General features: G+C 42.6%; 1 protein-coding gene across 11 annotated transcripts, besides 2 other annotated features; it reads left to right on the forward strand.

Annotated features, from left to right (window-relative positions):
* Nucleotides 7,632-7,851: an enhancer, noted in NCBI's record as "active region_1994". NCBI's record gives its function as "activates an Ori minimal core promoter by ATAC-STARR-seq in GM12878 lymphoblastoid cells {active_cell/tissue: GM12878}" and the evidence as "EXISTENCE:reporter gene assay evidence [ECO:0000049][PMID:35858748]".
* FCRLA (Fc receptor like A) lies at nt 9,096-16,219 on the forward strand. Of its 11 annotated transcripts, none has more exons than NM_001184866.2 (6): nt 9,096-9,210; nt 12,342-12,359; nt 12,627-12,779; nt 13,075-13,341; nt 13,801-14,085; nt 14,952-16,219. In NM_001184866.2, exons 1-6 carry the CDS (start codon nt 9,132-9,134, stop codon nt 15,245-15,247), a joined length of 1,098 nt encoding a protein of 365 aa, NP_001171795.2. In that variant the 5' UTR covers nt 9,096-9,131; the 3' UTR covers nt 15,248-16,219. The 11 variants fall into 11 exon arrangements, with proteins under 11 accessions (NP_001171795.2, NP_001353124.2, XP_011508367.2 ...); NM_001366195.2 differs by having other exon boundaries at nt 12,345-12,359; XM_011510065.2 differs by lacking the exon at nt 13,801-14,085.
* Nucleotides 9,392-9,571: an enhancer, noted in NCBI's record as "active region_1995". NCBI's record gives its function as "activates an Ori minimal core promoter by ATAC-STARR-seq in GM12878 lymphoblastoid cells {active_cell/tissue: GM12878}" and the evidence as "EXISTENCE:reporter gene assay evidence [ECO:0000049][PMID:35858748]".
* Nucleotides 16,220-16,432: the final 213 nt, after the last annotated feature.

Raw genomic sequence — 16,432 nt, forward strand, 5'->3', positions numbered from 1 at the left:
TATACAAAAATTAACTCGAGATAGATTAAAGACTTAAATGTAAAAATCTAAAACCATAAAAACCCTAGAAGAAAACCTAGGCAATGCCATTCAGGACATAGGCATGGGCAAAGACTTCATGACTAAAACACCAAAAGCAATGGCAACAAAAGCCAAAATTGACAAATGGGATCTAATCAAACTAAAGAGCTTCTGCACAACAAAAGAAACTATCACCAGAGTGAACAGGCAACCTACAGAATGGGAGAAAAGTTTTGCAAGCTACCCATCTGACAAAGGTCTAATATCCAGAATCTACAAGGAGCTTAAACAAATTTACAAGAAAAAAACAATCAAAAAGTGGGCGAAGGTTATGAACAGACACTTCTCAAAAGAAGACATTTATGGGGCCAACAAACATATTTTAAAAAGCTCATCATCACTGGTCATTAGAGACATGCAAACCAAAACCACAATGAGATACCATCTCACACCAGTTAGAATGGTGATTATTAAGAAGTCAGGAAACAACAGATAGAGAAACAGGAGCGCTTTTACACTGTTGGTGGGGGTGTAAATTAGTTCAACCATTGTGGAAGAAGACAGTGTGGTGATTCCTCAATGATCTAGAACCAGAAATACCATTTGACCCAGCAATCTCATTACTGGGTATATACCCAAAGGATTATAAATCATTCTACTATAAAGACACCTGCACACATATGTTTATTGCAGCACTATTTACAATAGCAAAGATTTGGAACCCACCCAAATGCCCATCAATGATAGACTGGAGAAAGAAAATGTGGGACATATAAACAGTGGGATACTATGCAGCCATAAAAAAGGATGAGTTCACGTCCTTTACAGGGAAATGGATGAAGCTGGAAACCATCATTCTCAGCAAACTAACACAGGAACAGAAAACCAAACACCACATGTTGTCATTCATAAGTGGGAGTTGAACAATGAGAACACATGGACACAGGGAGGGTAATATCACACACCAGGCTCTGTCAGGGGGTAGGGGTAAGGGGAAGAAGAGCATTAGAACAAATACCTAATGTATGCGGGACTTAAAACCTAGATAATGGGTTGATAGGTGCAGCAAACCACCATGGCACTTGTATACCTATGTAACAACCTGCACTTTCTGCACATGTATCCCAGAACTTAAAGTAAAATAAAAATTAAAAAAAAAGAAATTGAATTTATTATCAAAACTTTCCTGCAAAGAAAACTTAAGGTCCAGATGGTTTTACTGCCAAATTCTAACAAACATTTAAGGAATAAATAATACCAATTCTATACCAAGTCTTCCAGAAAATTAGGGAGAAAAGAACACTTTGCAACTCAGACATCCAGGCAAAGGCATGAAAAGAAACCAAACCTAGGCTGTTCCAAGTGCAGTGGTGTTTACAACTAATTGATCATGACCATTAACAGATTTCTTTGTTCCTTCTCCACTCCCACAGCTCCATTTTAATAGCCTTTAAATAAAAAGTATTTTAAAAAATAAAGAAGAGGCCAAGTGCGGTGGCTCACGCTTGTAATCCCAGCACCTTGGAAGGCCAAGGCGGGCCTATCACTTGAGGTCTAGAGTTAGAGACCTCGCCAACATGGTGAAACCCCATCTCTTCTAAAAATACAAAAATTAGCCAGGCGTGGTGGCAGGCACCTATAATCCCAGCTACTGGGGAGGCCAAGGCAGGAGAATCGTTTGAACTTGGGAAACAGAGGTTGCAGTGAGCCGAGATGGCACCACTGCACTCCAGCCTGGGTGACAGAGTGAGACTCTGTGTCAAAAATGAATAAATAGAATAGAATAAAAATAATAAAAAATAAGAAACAAAGCCTAGAGACCAATATCTCTTATGAACATAGATGCAAAAAGTTTTACCAAATTTTAGCAAACAAATTCAATATTATATAAAAGGATAATACATGTTGACCAATACAAATTTGGACCAATTCAAAACCAATGAATGTAATTTACCATATTAACAGATTTAAAAAGAAAAAAAACCCATCATTTCAATAGATGCATAAAAGCATTTGATAAAGTTCAATACCCATTCATGATAAAACAAACAAAAATACTCACAAACTCTCAGTAAACTAGGAATAGATGAAAACTTCCTTAACCTTATAGGGGACGTATACAAAAAACACATCTAACATCATACTTAAGTGAAAGACTGCAGGCTTTCTCCCTAAGACTGGAAACAAGGCAAAGAAGTCTGCTCTCACTGCTCTTATGAGCATAGTTCTGAAAGTTTTAGCCACTGTAGTAAGGCAATAAAAGAAAATTTAAAAGCATACAGATCAGAAAGGAAGAAGTAAAACTGTCCCTATTTACAGGTGATATGATGGTCTATATAGAAAATTCCAAGTAATCTATTTTGAAAAACTCCTATAACTAGTAAGTGAGTTCAGCAAGGTTACAAAGTCAATATACAAAACTCAGTTCTATTTCTGTATACCAACAATGAACAATCAGAAATGCATTTTAAAAATATCATTTATAATAGCATCAAGAATATAGAATACTTAGGGGATATATTTGACAAAAGATGTACAAGACCTATATGCTGAAAACTGCTGAAAGAAATTAAGGAAGACTTAAATAAATGAAGAGAAATGTTGTTTTCATGGATCAGAAGATTTGGTATTGTTATGGTGTGAATTCTTTCCAAACTGATCTATAGAATCAAGGTAATCCTAGTCAACGTCCCAGCAGGCTTAAAAAAATTGACATGCTGATTTTCTTTATCTATTTATTTTTATTTTTTTTGAGATGGAGTCTTGCTCTGTTGCCCAGGCTGGAGTGCCGTGGCATAATCTCAGCTTACTGCAACGTCCATCTCCTGGGTTCAAGCAGTTCTCCTGCCTCAGCCTCCCAAGTAGTTGGGATTACAGGTGTACGCCACCATATCCGGCTAATTTTTGTATTTTAGTAGAGACAGGATTTTACTATGTTGATTAGGCTGGTCTTGAACTCCTGACCTCAAGTGATCCACCCACCTCAGCCTCCCAAAGTGCCGGGATTAGAGGCGTGAGCCACCACGCCCAGCCATGACATGCTGATTTTAAAATTTTATGGAAGTACAAACGTATTTATATGAAAATTTAAAATTCATATGGAATCGCTTTTTTAAATTCTGAAAAAGAAAAACAAAGTTGAGGAAGAACGTCTAGAAATAGGATCAAATATATATGATCAATTGATTTTTGATAAAGATGCTAAGGCAATTCAATAAGGGAAGTATAATCTTTTCAACAAATCGGTGCTGGAACAATTGGTAGCCATATGTAAAAATTAAACCTCAACCCTTAACTCACATCATATATGAAAATTTACCTGAAATGAATCATATATTTAAATGTAAGAGCTAGACCTGTAGAAAATGGTAGGAAATCTTAGTAACCTCAGCTTTGGGAGAGATTTATTAAATAGGAAACAAAAATCATGATCTGTTAAAGAAGAAATTGATTAATTGGACTTCATAAAAATGTAAAATGTGGCTGAGTGCAGTGGCTCATGCTTGTAATCCCAGCACTTTGGGAGGCTGAAGCAAGAGGACCACTTGAGCCCAGGAGCTCAAGACTAGCCTGGGTAACATAGTGAGATTCCGTCTCTAAAAAAAAAAAAAAAAAACAGGTGTAGTTGTGTATATATGTGGTCCCAGCTAATCAGGAGGCTGAGGTGGGAGGATCACTTGAGCCCAGGAGGTTGAAGTGGCAGTGAGCCATGATCATGCCACTGCACTCCGCCTTGGGAAACAGAGCAAGACCCCGTCACACACACACACTCACACAAAGATTGTTTTTTAAAAGATAATGATAAGAAAATGACAACACAAGTCACAGACTGAGAGAAAATATTTGCAGAACATCTATCTAACAAAGGACACATATCTAGAATTTTTTTTTAAAAAACCTCAACTCAATAAGAAAACAACCCAGTTTTTAAACACTGGCAAAAGATTTGAATTGATTCTACCCCAAAATATATATGCAGTTAGTAAATAAATACATGAAAAAATAAACATCCTTATTCATTAGAGAAATGCAAATTAAAACCAATGAGCTGTAGGAAACACCAGTTAGAATTGCTAAAAGTAAAAAGACTGACCATACCAAGCATCATTGAGGCTGTCTAGCAACTGGAGCTCTCATACACTGCTGGTGGGATTGTAAAATGGTTCAACCATTGTAATGGTTAACTATGTGTCAACATGACTGGATTAAGAGACGCTCAGACTGCTGGTAAAACACTATGTCTGGCTGTGTCTGTGAGAATGTTTACGGAAGAGGGCTGGGCGCAGTGGCTCACGCCTGTGATCCTGGCACTTTGGGAGGCCAAGGCAGATGGATCACCTGAGGTCAGCAGTTCGAGACCAGCCTGGCCAACATGGTGAAACCCTGTCTCTACTGAAAAGTACAAAAATTAGCCAGGGTTGGTGGCGGGCGCCTTCAATCCCGGCTACTTGGGTGGCTGAAGCAGGAGAATTGCTTGAACCCAGGAGGTGGAAGTTGCAGTGAGCCGAGATCACGGCTTTGCACTCCAGCCTGGGTGACAGAGTGAGACTCTGTCTGGGAAAAAAAAAAAAAAAAAAAAAAAGGAATATTTATGGAAGAGATTAGCATTTGAATTGGAAGAGTGAATAAAGATCTGTCCTCACAAATGCATGTGGGCATGATCCCACCACTCAGGGCCTGAATAAAACAAAAAGATGGAGATAGGGCAAATTTGATCTCTCTGATTGAGCTGGGACATTAACTGCCCTCAGACACCAGCCCTCTTGGTTCTGAGTCTTCAGACTTGGACTGAGACTTATTGACTCCACTGATTGTCAGGCCTTTGGACTTGAACTGAATTACACCATTGGTTTTGTTGGTTCTCCAGCTTGTTGATAGCAGAGGGTGGGATTTGTCTGCCTCTAAAATTGCCTGAGTCAATTCCTGTGTTTCCTTGTATGCATATATTAATTCTGTTTCTCTGAAGAGCCCTGGCTAATACAACCAATTTGGAAAACAGCTTGGCATTTTCTTAAAAAATTAAATATTTTTAATTTTTAAAGAAAAATTAAATTACCTACATAAAATTTAAAAAACTACCTAAAAATACACCTACACCTATATGATCCAGCCAGTCCACTGCTAGGTACCCAAGATAAATGAAAGCCTGTGTCCATACAACTTGTACATGAAAGTTTATAGTACCTTTATTTGTAGTAGCCGTAACTGGAAGCATCCCAAATATCAAACAATAGGTGAATGGATAAACAAAGTGTGGTACAGTCATGTAGTGGAATATTACTCTGCAATAAAATGGAAAGAACTGTTGATAGACACAACAACATGGACTAATCTGAAAATAATTATACTGAATGAAAGAAGACAGACAAAAAGAGCACATGCTGTATGATTTCATCTATGTAAAATCTCAGTAAACTATAGAAAACTTATCATGACACAAAACAGATTAGTGGTTGCCTGGAGAAGGTGGATAGAGAGGAAGGGATTACAAAAGTGCACAAGTAAATTTTCAGGAGTAATTCATCTGCTTATTATCTTGATTGTGGTCATGTTTTCATAGGTACACACTTTTGTTAAAATTCATCAAATTGTACAATTTAAAGATGTGCATTTAGCGTATGTCATTATTTCTCAATAAAGTGATTTTACAAACACAAAATGAAAAGACAAGCCATAAATTGAAAAATATTTGTAACAAATATGACTGACAAAAAATTTATGTTTAGGACATATACAATCTCTTAAAAGTCAATAAGAAAATTCCATTCATATATGTACCTTCGAGAAACTCTTATAATAACAAATTATGTACATGAATAGATGCATGGTTTTTGACAGCAAAAACCTGAAAATAACTCACATGTCCATTGTCAATAGAATAATTTGTGACATGATCACATGATGAAATACTTCACAGCAATACAATTAGTTAACTATAGCTACACAGAACATCAGGTTGTATTTCAGTTGAGTTAAACGAAAGCAAGTTGGCTGGGCAAGGTGGCTCACCCCTGTAATCCCAGCACTTTGGGAAGCCGAGGCAGGTGGATCATGAGGTCAGGAGTTCGAGACCAGCCTGGCCAATATGGTGAAACCCCGTCTCTACTAAAAATACAAAAGTTAGCCGGGTGTGGTGGCACACGCCTGTAGTCCCAGCTACTCAGCTACTCGGGAGGCTGAGGCAGAAGAGTCGCTTAAACCCGGGAGGTGGAGGTTTCAGTGAGCTGAGATCAAACATACTGCACTCACTCAACAGAGTGAGACTCCATCTCAAAAAAAAAAAATAGAGAAAGCCTTAGAATGATAAATACAGTACAATTCCACTTACTAAAAGTTCAAAAATACAAAATGATTACTACATAAAATAAAGAGAGTGATAAATATAAGGTAAAGATTGTGGTTGATGATGGTGGGGAGGGAAGACAGTGTAATCGGACAGGGATCTATGCAGTACTTCAAGGATAACAGTACTAGTCTGTTCCTTCAACCATATAAGGTTTCAAAAGTATACACTGCATTATTTTTTACACCTTCACATTTTTAATAAATATTTTTATCTACTCAATTAAAAATAAAGAAGAGATAAGCATTAGTCCACTAGTGACAAGCCAGGAATGGCAAAGGAGGGCATCCACCACCTAATTGGTCTTGGGATGGGATGAGAGCTGGGATTTGTCCCATCTCCCCCTGAGTATTCTGAGGTGATCCTGATGGAGGAACTTACTCAATAAACCGAATCTCAGTCTCCATGAACAAACAGCAGACCCAATGTTGCTTTTTCCTCGCAGTGAATCACATCTATTCTAAATAGTTCATTGATTAAGCTTCAAGCGAGTAAATTTTCCCAGCAGCTTAATGGAAATTTCAGTGTAAAGAACTTGATAGCTTCACCCCAAATCTTCAGAAGGCCCCTTGCCTTCCATATTGACAGTGGGGTCCTGCAAGGATTGCTGCAGATGGTATAGGGGAGGGTCTCTATCCAGGTAAGATGCTATGGTAAGGACAGTAAAGGAGAAAGGGTGACATAAGAAGAGAAAGATATCATGATTTGTTTAGAAGCCCCTTAGCCTCTGCCTAACCCTGAGGGTCTATGTTTTATGTAGTTTTAGGAGTGGCGATGCATCTAAACACATTTTATTTGTTTAATTCGTACACCTGTAATCCAGCACTTTGGGAGGCCGAGGTGGGCAGATCACGAGGTCAGAAGATCAAGACCATCCTGGCTAACAGGGTGAAACCCCATCTCTACTAAAAATTCAAAAAATTAGCCGGGCGTGATGGCACGCTCCTGTAGTCTCAGCTACTCGGGAGGCTGAGGCAGGAGAATGGCTTGAACCCTGGAGGCAGAGGTTGCAGTGAGCCGAGATCGCGCTACTGCACTCAAGCCTGGGCAACAGAGACTCCATCTCAAAAAAAAAAAAAAATTATTAAGGCTAGCTAGGCTTTTCTTCCTCTTCTGAGGCTTCACATCACATCAGCTGCAAGGCTTACTGCCTCACTGCCTTCCCCAGCACCCATATTCAACCACCCCTGGACTCCCTGGGGCCACCTGCACAGAAGCGTATGCCTCTCGATAATGGAAATTTTATTCTAAATGCTTATTTTAGACTCAGAAAGATCCACTCTCTTATGCCCGTGTGGTTGATATGTCTGCTCTGACCTGTGGTTTTTGCACAGTTGAAGGGTCATACTGTCCCTCTCTCTGCCTTCAAGGAGGACCAAACTACCTTCCCCCATTTCTCTCTCTCTCTTTTTTTTTTTTTTTGTGAGATGGAGTCTCGCTCTGTCACCCACACTAGAGTGCAGTGGTGCAATCTTGGCTCACTGCAACTTCTGCCTCCTGGGTTCAAATGATACTCATGCCTCAGCCTCTGAAGTAACTGGGACTACAGCCATGCACCACCATGCCCATCTAATTTTTTTTTTTTTTTTTCAGTAGAGATGGGGTTTCACCATACTGGCCAGGCTGGTCTTGAACTCCTGACCTCCAGTCCAGTGATCCGCCCACCCTGGCCTCCCAAAGTGCTGGGATTACAGAGGCATGAGCCACAGTGCCTGGCCTACCTTACCCCATTTCTGATGGCTCATTTCATCTCCAAATAACCTACTGGAGGCCTGGTGGGTGTTATGATGACAGAAAGGGGAGGAATGTGGCCACTGTGAAAAGACACATGGGCCCTACCATTAAGTAGGCCTCAAACAAATAGCAAACATTCAGAGGCAGGGACAATGGTTCCCAGGAGGCCATCTGGAACGGAAGGGAGAGGCTGTAGCCTCTATATTGCTCCTATTCCTGAGTCTCCTCAGGTTTCTCAAGATATCGGATGCCTCCTATCTCTAATTTCCTCAGGATCAGTGGCCTGAGCTTTGGCTATGAGCCTAAGCCCTGAGCTGACTGCTGGATCCTCTGGGAATAGATTTTCTTTTTCCTCTACTCTTTCCCAGTGGATTCTCCCTGCCTTGTACTCATATTTCCACTGAGACTGAGCAGACTTAGTCATGCTCCAGAAATAGAGAGCTGACACGAGTCTAGAGAAATTTGCATGCAAATTTGTGTGGGCTTTGGATAGTCAGAGCCTACTAGAGACTAATCTGATATCTAACTTGGTGCCGTGACTAATCTTCCTTCTCTGTCTCGCTACCTTCTAGTCACTAGAAACATATAAGTGTTGGAATGGGCAGGACATTTGAATTCTCATCATTGATTCTCCAGTGATTTTCTATTGGCCTTCAAACAACATCCCACCTTCTGTCCCCAGTTGCATCACCAGTGAAAAGGGTGGTTGTTGCACTGACCTTTCCCAGAGTGTACATGAAGGCCAGCTGGCTATCAGACAATGACATGCTTTGACAGGCCCCTGAGCTCTGTGAGTAAATTCTTGAACAGCTGAGAGTGCTACCATTTTGTCATAGCCCTAAGGGTGCAGATGATGCTGAAAGCGTGTTGGCCAAATCTGAATGATGAAAGCCAATTACAAACTAGAAAATGAAAACAGACCCCAGATGCAAGGAGATGAGACAGTTAAATTTACTTCCTCTTTTCTAATCTGAGAGGTTTCATGTTGAAGAAAATCAGTGTTGGGGTTGCAGGAGACCTAAACACAGTCACCATGAAGCTGGGCTGTGTCCTCATGGCCTGGGCCCTCTACCTTTCCCTTGGTGTGCTCTGGGTGGCCCAGATGCTACTGGGTAAGTAAAATATTTGAATATTGGTGTGGGAATGGAGCTTTGCTTACCTTGGGAGAAAGGACCAGAAGGAAAGAAACATGGACTAATTCTGGCCCTCCAAAGAAGCAGTATTCAGGTGGAATAAGAAGGGTAGGTATAAGAAAGTTTGGTGTACAGGATTGAATTACTTTCTGAATATAAAAATCTTCCATCCTGAAAGTCCCCTCTGATCATGATATCCTCTCTAGCTCTAATCTCAACTCTTTTCTTTCACTTGTGAGACAAGTTTTCTTAAAAGAATAGTTTGCACTTGCTATCTCCACTTCCTCACTTCTCACACGCTCCTCAATGCTTGCAGCCTGGCTTCCACTGGAATTGGTTTTGTCTAGGGCACAACGATCTCTATATTGACTGGGTTATGGCATGCTTTTCAGTTCATATCCTGCTGGACTTCTCTGCTGCACTGGGCTCTGTTGATCACTTACTCCTTCTTGCATTCTCTACTACCCTGGCTTCCATGGCACCATTTTCTCCTTGTACTACATGGACTTCTCTTGATCCCTTAATAGCTTCTCTTCTCTTCCCCTTAAACACTAGTGTTCTCTATAGTTATAGCCTTGCCTCTGTACTCCTCTTTCTTTACACAATCTCCTTCATGAGCTTATTTGTCTGTTTAATTTTTGCCACTATAACTCTGTATTTAAGAGTCCCAAATCATATCCCCAACCCTAACCATGCTTTTGAGCTTCACATTCAAATATCAAGCTTCATACCAGACATATCTACCTACATATCTCACAAGTGTCTCTGCACCATGTGACTAGAGTTGAACTTATCTGTCCTTTTGGCCCCTGCCTCATCTAATTCATTTTCCACTTTCTGATCTCAGCTAATGACACCAGCATCTACCCTTACAAGGCCATAAACCTCAGAAACAACCCAGACTCTTCCTTCTTTTTCATTCTCTAAATCTGATCAATCATTAGGTTTGGCCAATTTTACCTTCTAAATTGTTCATAGAAGCAGTCCCTTGCCTGGATCATCACTAATGTCTTAGGACAAGCCCTCATCCTCTATGACTTGGGCTATTCCAGTAAATTCCTAACTAATCTCCTCGTCCAAACCTTGTGTTCTTGAAATGAATTCTGTACCCTGCAGACAGAGTAATTTCTAAAACTCAAGTTTACCAGCCCAAATTCTTTATCATGGCACAAAAGGCCAAGCAGCCTCTACTTTTACCCTCTCAGCCTTGTAACTTATGCTCTAATAAATCTCAATCAGTTCATATTTACATACTCACACACCAGACTCTTGCCTGTCTCTAAGGCTTTGCTTATACCACTATCTCTACCTGAAATGAGTTCTTTCCATGGCACCCTACTCTCCTTCTCCTTGCAAATGTGTAGGTACCCCTAAAGACTCAGCTTAAATGGTATCTTTTCCAGGTAGCTTTTCTTGAATGCTTCTTTCTGCTCCAATGGCTGCTTGCGATACATTTTTCTTATTATAATATTTTCCTACTTATGCTGAAATAATATTTTCATCTACCTGTGTCTTCCACTAAATTGAGAGCTATTTGTGGGTAGTGACAATGTTTTTTTGTTTTTGTCTTGTGATAAGAACTGCAGACTTGGAATCAGATACTCCTGTTTCAAGCCCCTCTTCTATTTACCAGCTCTATGTCACTTTAGAAAATCACTTTTTCTATTTCTGGTTCAGTTTTCTCATTTGTAGAATGAAAATAATAATACCTACCACCTAAGGTTTATTGAGTGAGTTCCCAGTAACCCAACAAGATTTTATTTTATTTTATTTTATGTTTTGAGACAGGGTCTCGCTCTGCCACCCAGGCTGGAGTGCAGTGGTGCAATCACTGCTCACTGCAACCTTGACCTCTTGGGCTTAAGCAATCGTCCTATCTCAGCCTCCCAAGTAGCTGGGACCACAGGCAAGTGCCACCAGGCCTGGCCAATTTTTTAAAAAATTATTTGTTGAGACAGGGTCTCTCTATGTTCCCCAGGCTGGTCTCAAACTCCTGGGCTCAAGGGATCCTCCCACCTCAACCTCCCAAAGTGCTGTGATTATAAGCATGAGCCACCACGCCTGGATAAGATTTTATTTTTAAAAAGAAAAAATGGAGAGGAGGCAGAGCACAGATGAGTGACAGTGGAGGAACTGAAAAGAGGTAGCATTACAGTGAAGGGAGCGGAGAAAGGATGGAAAGAAAACACCTGGTACTGATGTGATGAGAATTAGGAAGTAGGGAGGGGTCTTGGTAAGGGACATGACAAAATCAAAGAAGAACGCTGGGCTATTGGGAGTGGAAGAGAATAAAGGCAAGTGGGGCACGAAATGACAGTCAGATGGAGTGAAGAAGTATGCACATGTGAATGGCCATGAGGCTGGAGGAGGGGGAGAATAGTTAGGGAGATAAAGAGCAGTCCCAGAGAAGGGAGAAATGTCACTTCCCTTGCCTAGGTCTACCATGAAGGTAAGAGATAGGTTGAGGAGATGTGGTGAGAAATGGATAATTCTAAATTTCAATCTGGAGCAAAGAATTGTTCCACAGTTACTAATATGGACTGGGAGGAGGGGAAAAAAGACAGAGAAAGCTCTGTGCCACTGCCAGGGAAAATTCAAGTGGCAGAGGACATTAAAGTAAAGATGGCTGAAAAGTGAAGACCTGCAAGGGGGAGGAAGAAAGGAGGAGAGACACTGCTGGGTACTGAAAGCTCTTTGTTAGATAACATATTCAAGGCTGAGGAGCCAAGTGAAGTTTGGGAAAATCAGAATATGAAAGAAAGTCCCCGAGGAAGGTCTGAGGACTGAAGTAGACCATATTTGCACAGTGAAGTAAAAAGAACATTGATTTTGGACTCAGACACACCTGCCTTTCCCGATCCATTGCTTAGTCTCTTTTTAAGCTTTGGGTATGTTAATTTGGTTTTCTAAGTGTGTTTCTTTAAGATTATAAAATGAGGATAAAGTCACCTACCTGGAAAGTTTGTGAGGATGAAGTTAGATACTGCACACAAGTGCTAGCAGGGTCTGGCACCCAGTGAACATTAGAATCTGATGTCTCCCTTTCATTCCTGTCCTATGCCTCCCTGCTTCGAGTTACCATTGTCTTTGCTCCTGGTTTCCCGTACCAGCAGCTGGATGTCATGCCGGTGAGTTTCACCATTCTTTCATTCTCTCCCCTCCCTCTTCTCCAAACCACAGTGCATTTGCTGAGAGCACCTGGACGCCAGTGAATCAAGGTCAAAACTATCCCCCTGAGACACTCTCAGGGGTCTTTCCGAAAAAAAAAAAGGTTTTGATGTCTTACTAGTCTCATTCTAAAAAGGATGATTATCCTGGGAGATGGAGGAACCCTGTCCTCTTTCTCCAAGTTGCATCATCATTTTCTGGTTCTCCCTGGGCCATGCCCTCTTCAGCTGCCAGTTTTGAGACGCTGCAGTGTGAGGGACCTGTCTGCACTGAGGAGAGCAGCTGCCACACGGAGGATGACTTGACTGATGCAAGGGAAGCTGGCTTCCAGGTCAAGGCCTACACTTTCAGTGAACCCTTCCACCTGATTGTGTCCTATGGTGAGGTCCTGGGAAGGCCTGAGCAGTGCCCCAAACCCCTTCTTTCAGCCTCAGAGCCCACCCAGGAAAGTGTCCCTAGGAAATTGGCTATGGGATGAGGTACTTCCTTCCCAGTCTTCAGCCCACAGCAACCAGGGTGCTCTAAGTCCTAGGCCCTAGGGAAGTTGTCCCATACTCCCAACCAGGGGTGAGAGTTTACCTGGACCCTCAGAGAAAGTTTAGGGGAGTAGGCATGCTTGGGGGTGGCCCCCAAGGGAGGCCCTGGGTGACACTCAGCTCTTTCTCTGGACCATAGACTGGCTGATCCTCCAAGGTCCAGCCAAGCCAGTTTTTGAAGGGGACCTGCTGGTTCTGCGCTGCCAGGCCTGGCAAGACTGGCCACTGACTCAGGTGACCTTCTACCGAGATGGCTCAGCTCTGGGTCCCCCCGGGCCTAACAGGGAATTCTCCATCACCGTGGTACAAAAGGCAGACAGCGGGCACTACCACTGCAGTGGCATCTTCCAGAGCCCTGGTCCTGGGATCCCAGAAACAGCATCTGTTGTGGCTATCACAGTCCAAGGTGAGAGCTAGAAGCAGCATTGTCATGGCAGGGGAGGGTAAGGAGAGACAGGGAGCCCAAATTGTCTTTCTTTAGCCTGGAGGTAGCAAGATCATCAACAGACTATGGAGCAGGTTGCTGGCAAATGCCCAAGTTGGGCTTCGAAAGGGACGAGACCTCAGCCTTTTGAAGTCATCCAGCCCCACTCAGAGTCCAGCATAGTTCCTACCACCCAGATCTATGCTTCCTAGTGCTCACTGATTGGGTGTCTGGACAACTATCAGATTTGCCCATCTGTGGATCTTTCCTAGTCCTGTCTACTTACAGAAAGAACTTGACAGATTCAAATGGAATCTAAGAGAGCCCATTCCTGCTGGAAACAGGGGAAAGGAAGTATGACTCCCCAAGTCTCTTCACCTGCATGTGTCTACCTGTATATAAGATGGCTGAGCTCTTCTTTCCTGCCTATCTTTTTCCCAGAACTGTTTCCAGCGCCAATTCTCAGAGCTGTACCCTCAGCTGAACCCCAAGCAGGAAGCCCCATGACCCTGAGTTGTCAGACAAAGTTGCCCCTGCAGAGGTCAGCTGCCCGCCTCCTCTTCTCCTTCTACAAGGATGGAAGGATAGTGCAAAGCAGGGGGCTCTCCTCAGAATTCCAGATCCCCACAGCTTCAGAAGATCACTCCGGGTCATACTGGTGTGAGGCAGCCACTGAGGACAACCAAGTTTGGAAACAGAGCCCCCAGCTAGAGATCAGAGTGCAGGGTGAGTTCGCATCAGAGTGCAGGTTGTCTGTTTGGCATGCGTGTGAGTGAAAAGGAGGGATAGGATAAATTGACCTGTGAGCTGGGGTTCAGTGTGAGCAGGTTAAGAAGGGACACAGAGGGGGCAGGAACAATGGGCCAGAATCCCTGATGATGAGAGACAGCACAAATAGAGAACTTCTCCCTCAGACTGTGGTGCACACCTCACCAGACCAAGAGCTGAGCCAGCTCCACACCTGCTGCCCCACAAGCCTTAGCATCCCCCCCAACATGCTCTCTGGGCATTTATAGGAATTTAATATCTGGAATGAAGATGGGATAGTCTGAAGTCTATGTTCAATTCTGGGAGCCACTGTTAAGAGGCTGCACTTGACCTGAAACACTCCCAGAAGAGGTGTCCAGGGTGATAAGGGGGCTTAAAGTCATGTCATATGAAAAATAATGGAAGGGGCTGGAGATGCTATCCTGAAGAGGAGGTGACTCAGAGGCCAGCAGAGGTGTCCTCAAAAAGCTGAAGGCTGGCATTAGCACAAGGAATTGGACTAATGTCTTATATAATAAAGAGGCTGACCTAGAACCAGTTACCACATTCATGCTTCAGGGAATTAGATTCAGCCTTGATAGAGAAAGAACTGGCTAATAGTTATAGCTGTCCAGTGGTGAAGCCTCACTGCTGAAGAATTTCAAACAGAAGTGGCCAAGCTTCAGATTAAAATTTGGACCAGGAGGGACACTAGAGTCCTCAAGTCCCTGCTGCCATTGGGCCCCACAGCCACTTTCAGAGAACAAGAAAGATTGGCCAGGGATGGGAGGGAAGGGCCAGAGTCAGACTTCACTCTTGTATGTGCCTCCTGCCCCATAATTCAGGTGCTTCCAGCTCTGCTGCACCTCCCACATTGAATCCAGCTCCTCAGAAATCAGCTGCTCCAGGAACTGCTCCTGAGGAGGCCCCTGGGCCTCTGCCTCCGCCGCCAACCCCATCTTCTGAGGATCCAGGCTTTTCTTCTCCTCTGGGGATGCCAGATCCTCATCTGTATCACCAGATGGGCCTTCTTCTCAAACACATGCAGGATGTGAGAGTCCTCCTCGGTCACCTGCTCATGGAGTTGAGGGAATTATCTGGCCACCGGAAGCCTGGGACCACAAAGGCTACTGCTGAATAGAAGTAAACAGTTCATCCATGATCTCACTTAACCACCCCAATAAATCTGATTCTTTATTTTCTCTTCCTGTCCTGCACATATGCATAAGTACTTTTACAAGTTGTCCCAGTGTTTTGTTAGAATAATGTAGTTAGGTGAGTGTAAATAAATTTATATAAAGTGAGAATTAGAGTTTAGCTATAATTGTGTATTCTCTCTTAACACAACAGAATTCTGCTGTCTAGATCAGGAATTTCTATCTGTTATATCGACCAGAATGTTGTGATTTAAAGAGAACTAATGGAAGTGGATTGAATACAGCAGTCTCAACTGGGGGCAATTTTGCCCCCCAGAGGACATTGGGCAATGTTTGGAGACATTTTGGTCATTATACTTGGGGGGTTGGGGGATGGTGGGATGTGTGTGCTACTGGCATCCAGTAAATAGAAGCCAGGGGTGCCGCTAAACATCCTATAATGCACAGGGCAGTACCCCACAACGAAAAATAATCTGGCCCAAAATGTCAGTTGTACTGAGTTTGAGAAACCCCAGCCTAATGAAACCCTAGGTGTTGGGCTCTGGAATGGGACTTTGTCCCTTCTAATTATTATCTCTTTCCAGCCTCATTCAGCTATTCTTACTGACATACCAGTCTTTAGCTGGTGCTATGGTCTGTTCTTTAGTTCTAGTTTGTATCCCCTCAAAAGCCATTATGTTGAAATCCTAATCCCCAAGGTGATGGCATTAAGAAGTGGGCCTTTGGGAAGTGATTAGATCAGGAGTGCAGAGCCCTCATGATTAGGATTAGTGCCCTTATTTAAAAAGGCCCCAGAGAGCTAACTCACCCTTCCACCATATGAGGACGTGGCAAGAAGATGACATGTATGAGAACCAAAAAACAGCTGTCGCCAAACACCGACTCTGTCGTTGCCTTGATCTTGAACTTCCAGCCTCCAGAACTATGAGAAATAAAATTCTGTTGTTTGTAAGCTATTCAGTTTGTGTATTTTGTTATAGTAGCCCAAATGGACTAGGCAGTTGGCCTCTGCCACATGACTGAGTTTATGATATGTTAAAAATACTCATAAAACAGTGTCTTTGTCTACAGAGGGCTTACACTGTGGGATAGAAGGGAATAGTACCCCATCCTATAACACAATTAAAGCAGGGTATATAAAAATTTCCCACAGGATCCTACTGGGCTCA

This window comes from Homo sapiens, chromosome 1 (assembly GCF_000001405.40).
Source record: "Homo sapiens chromosome 1, GRCh38.p14 Primary Assembly".
NCBI lineage: Eukaryota > Metazoa > Chordata > Mammalia > Primates > Hominidae > Homo > Homo sapiens.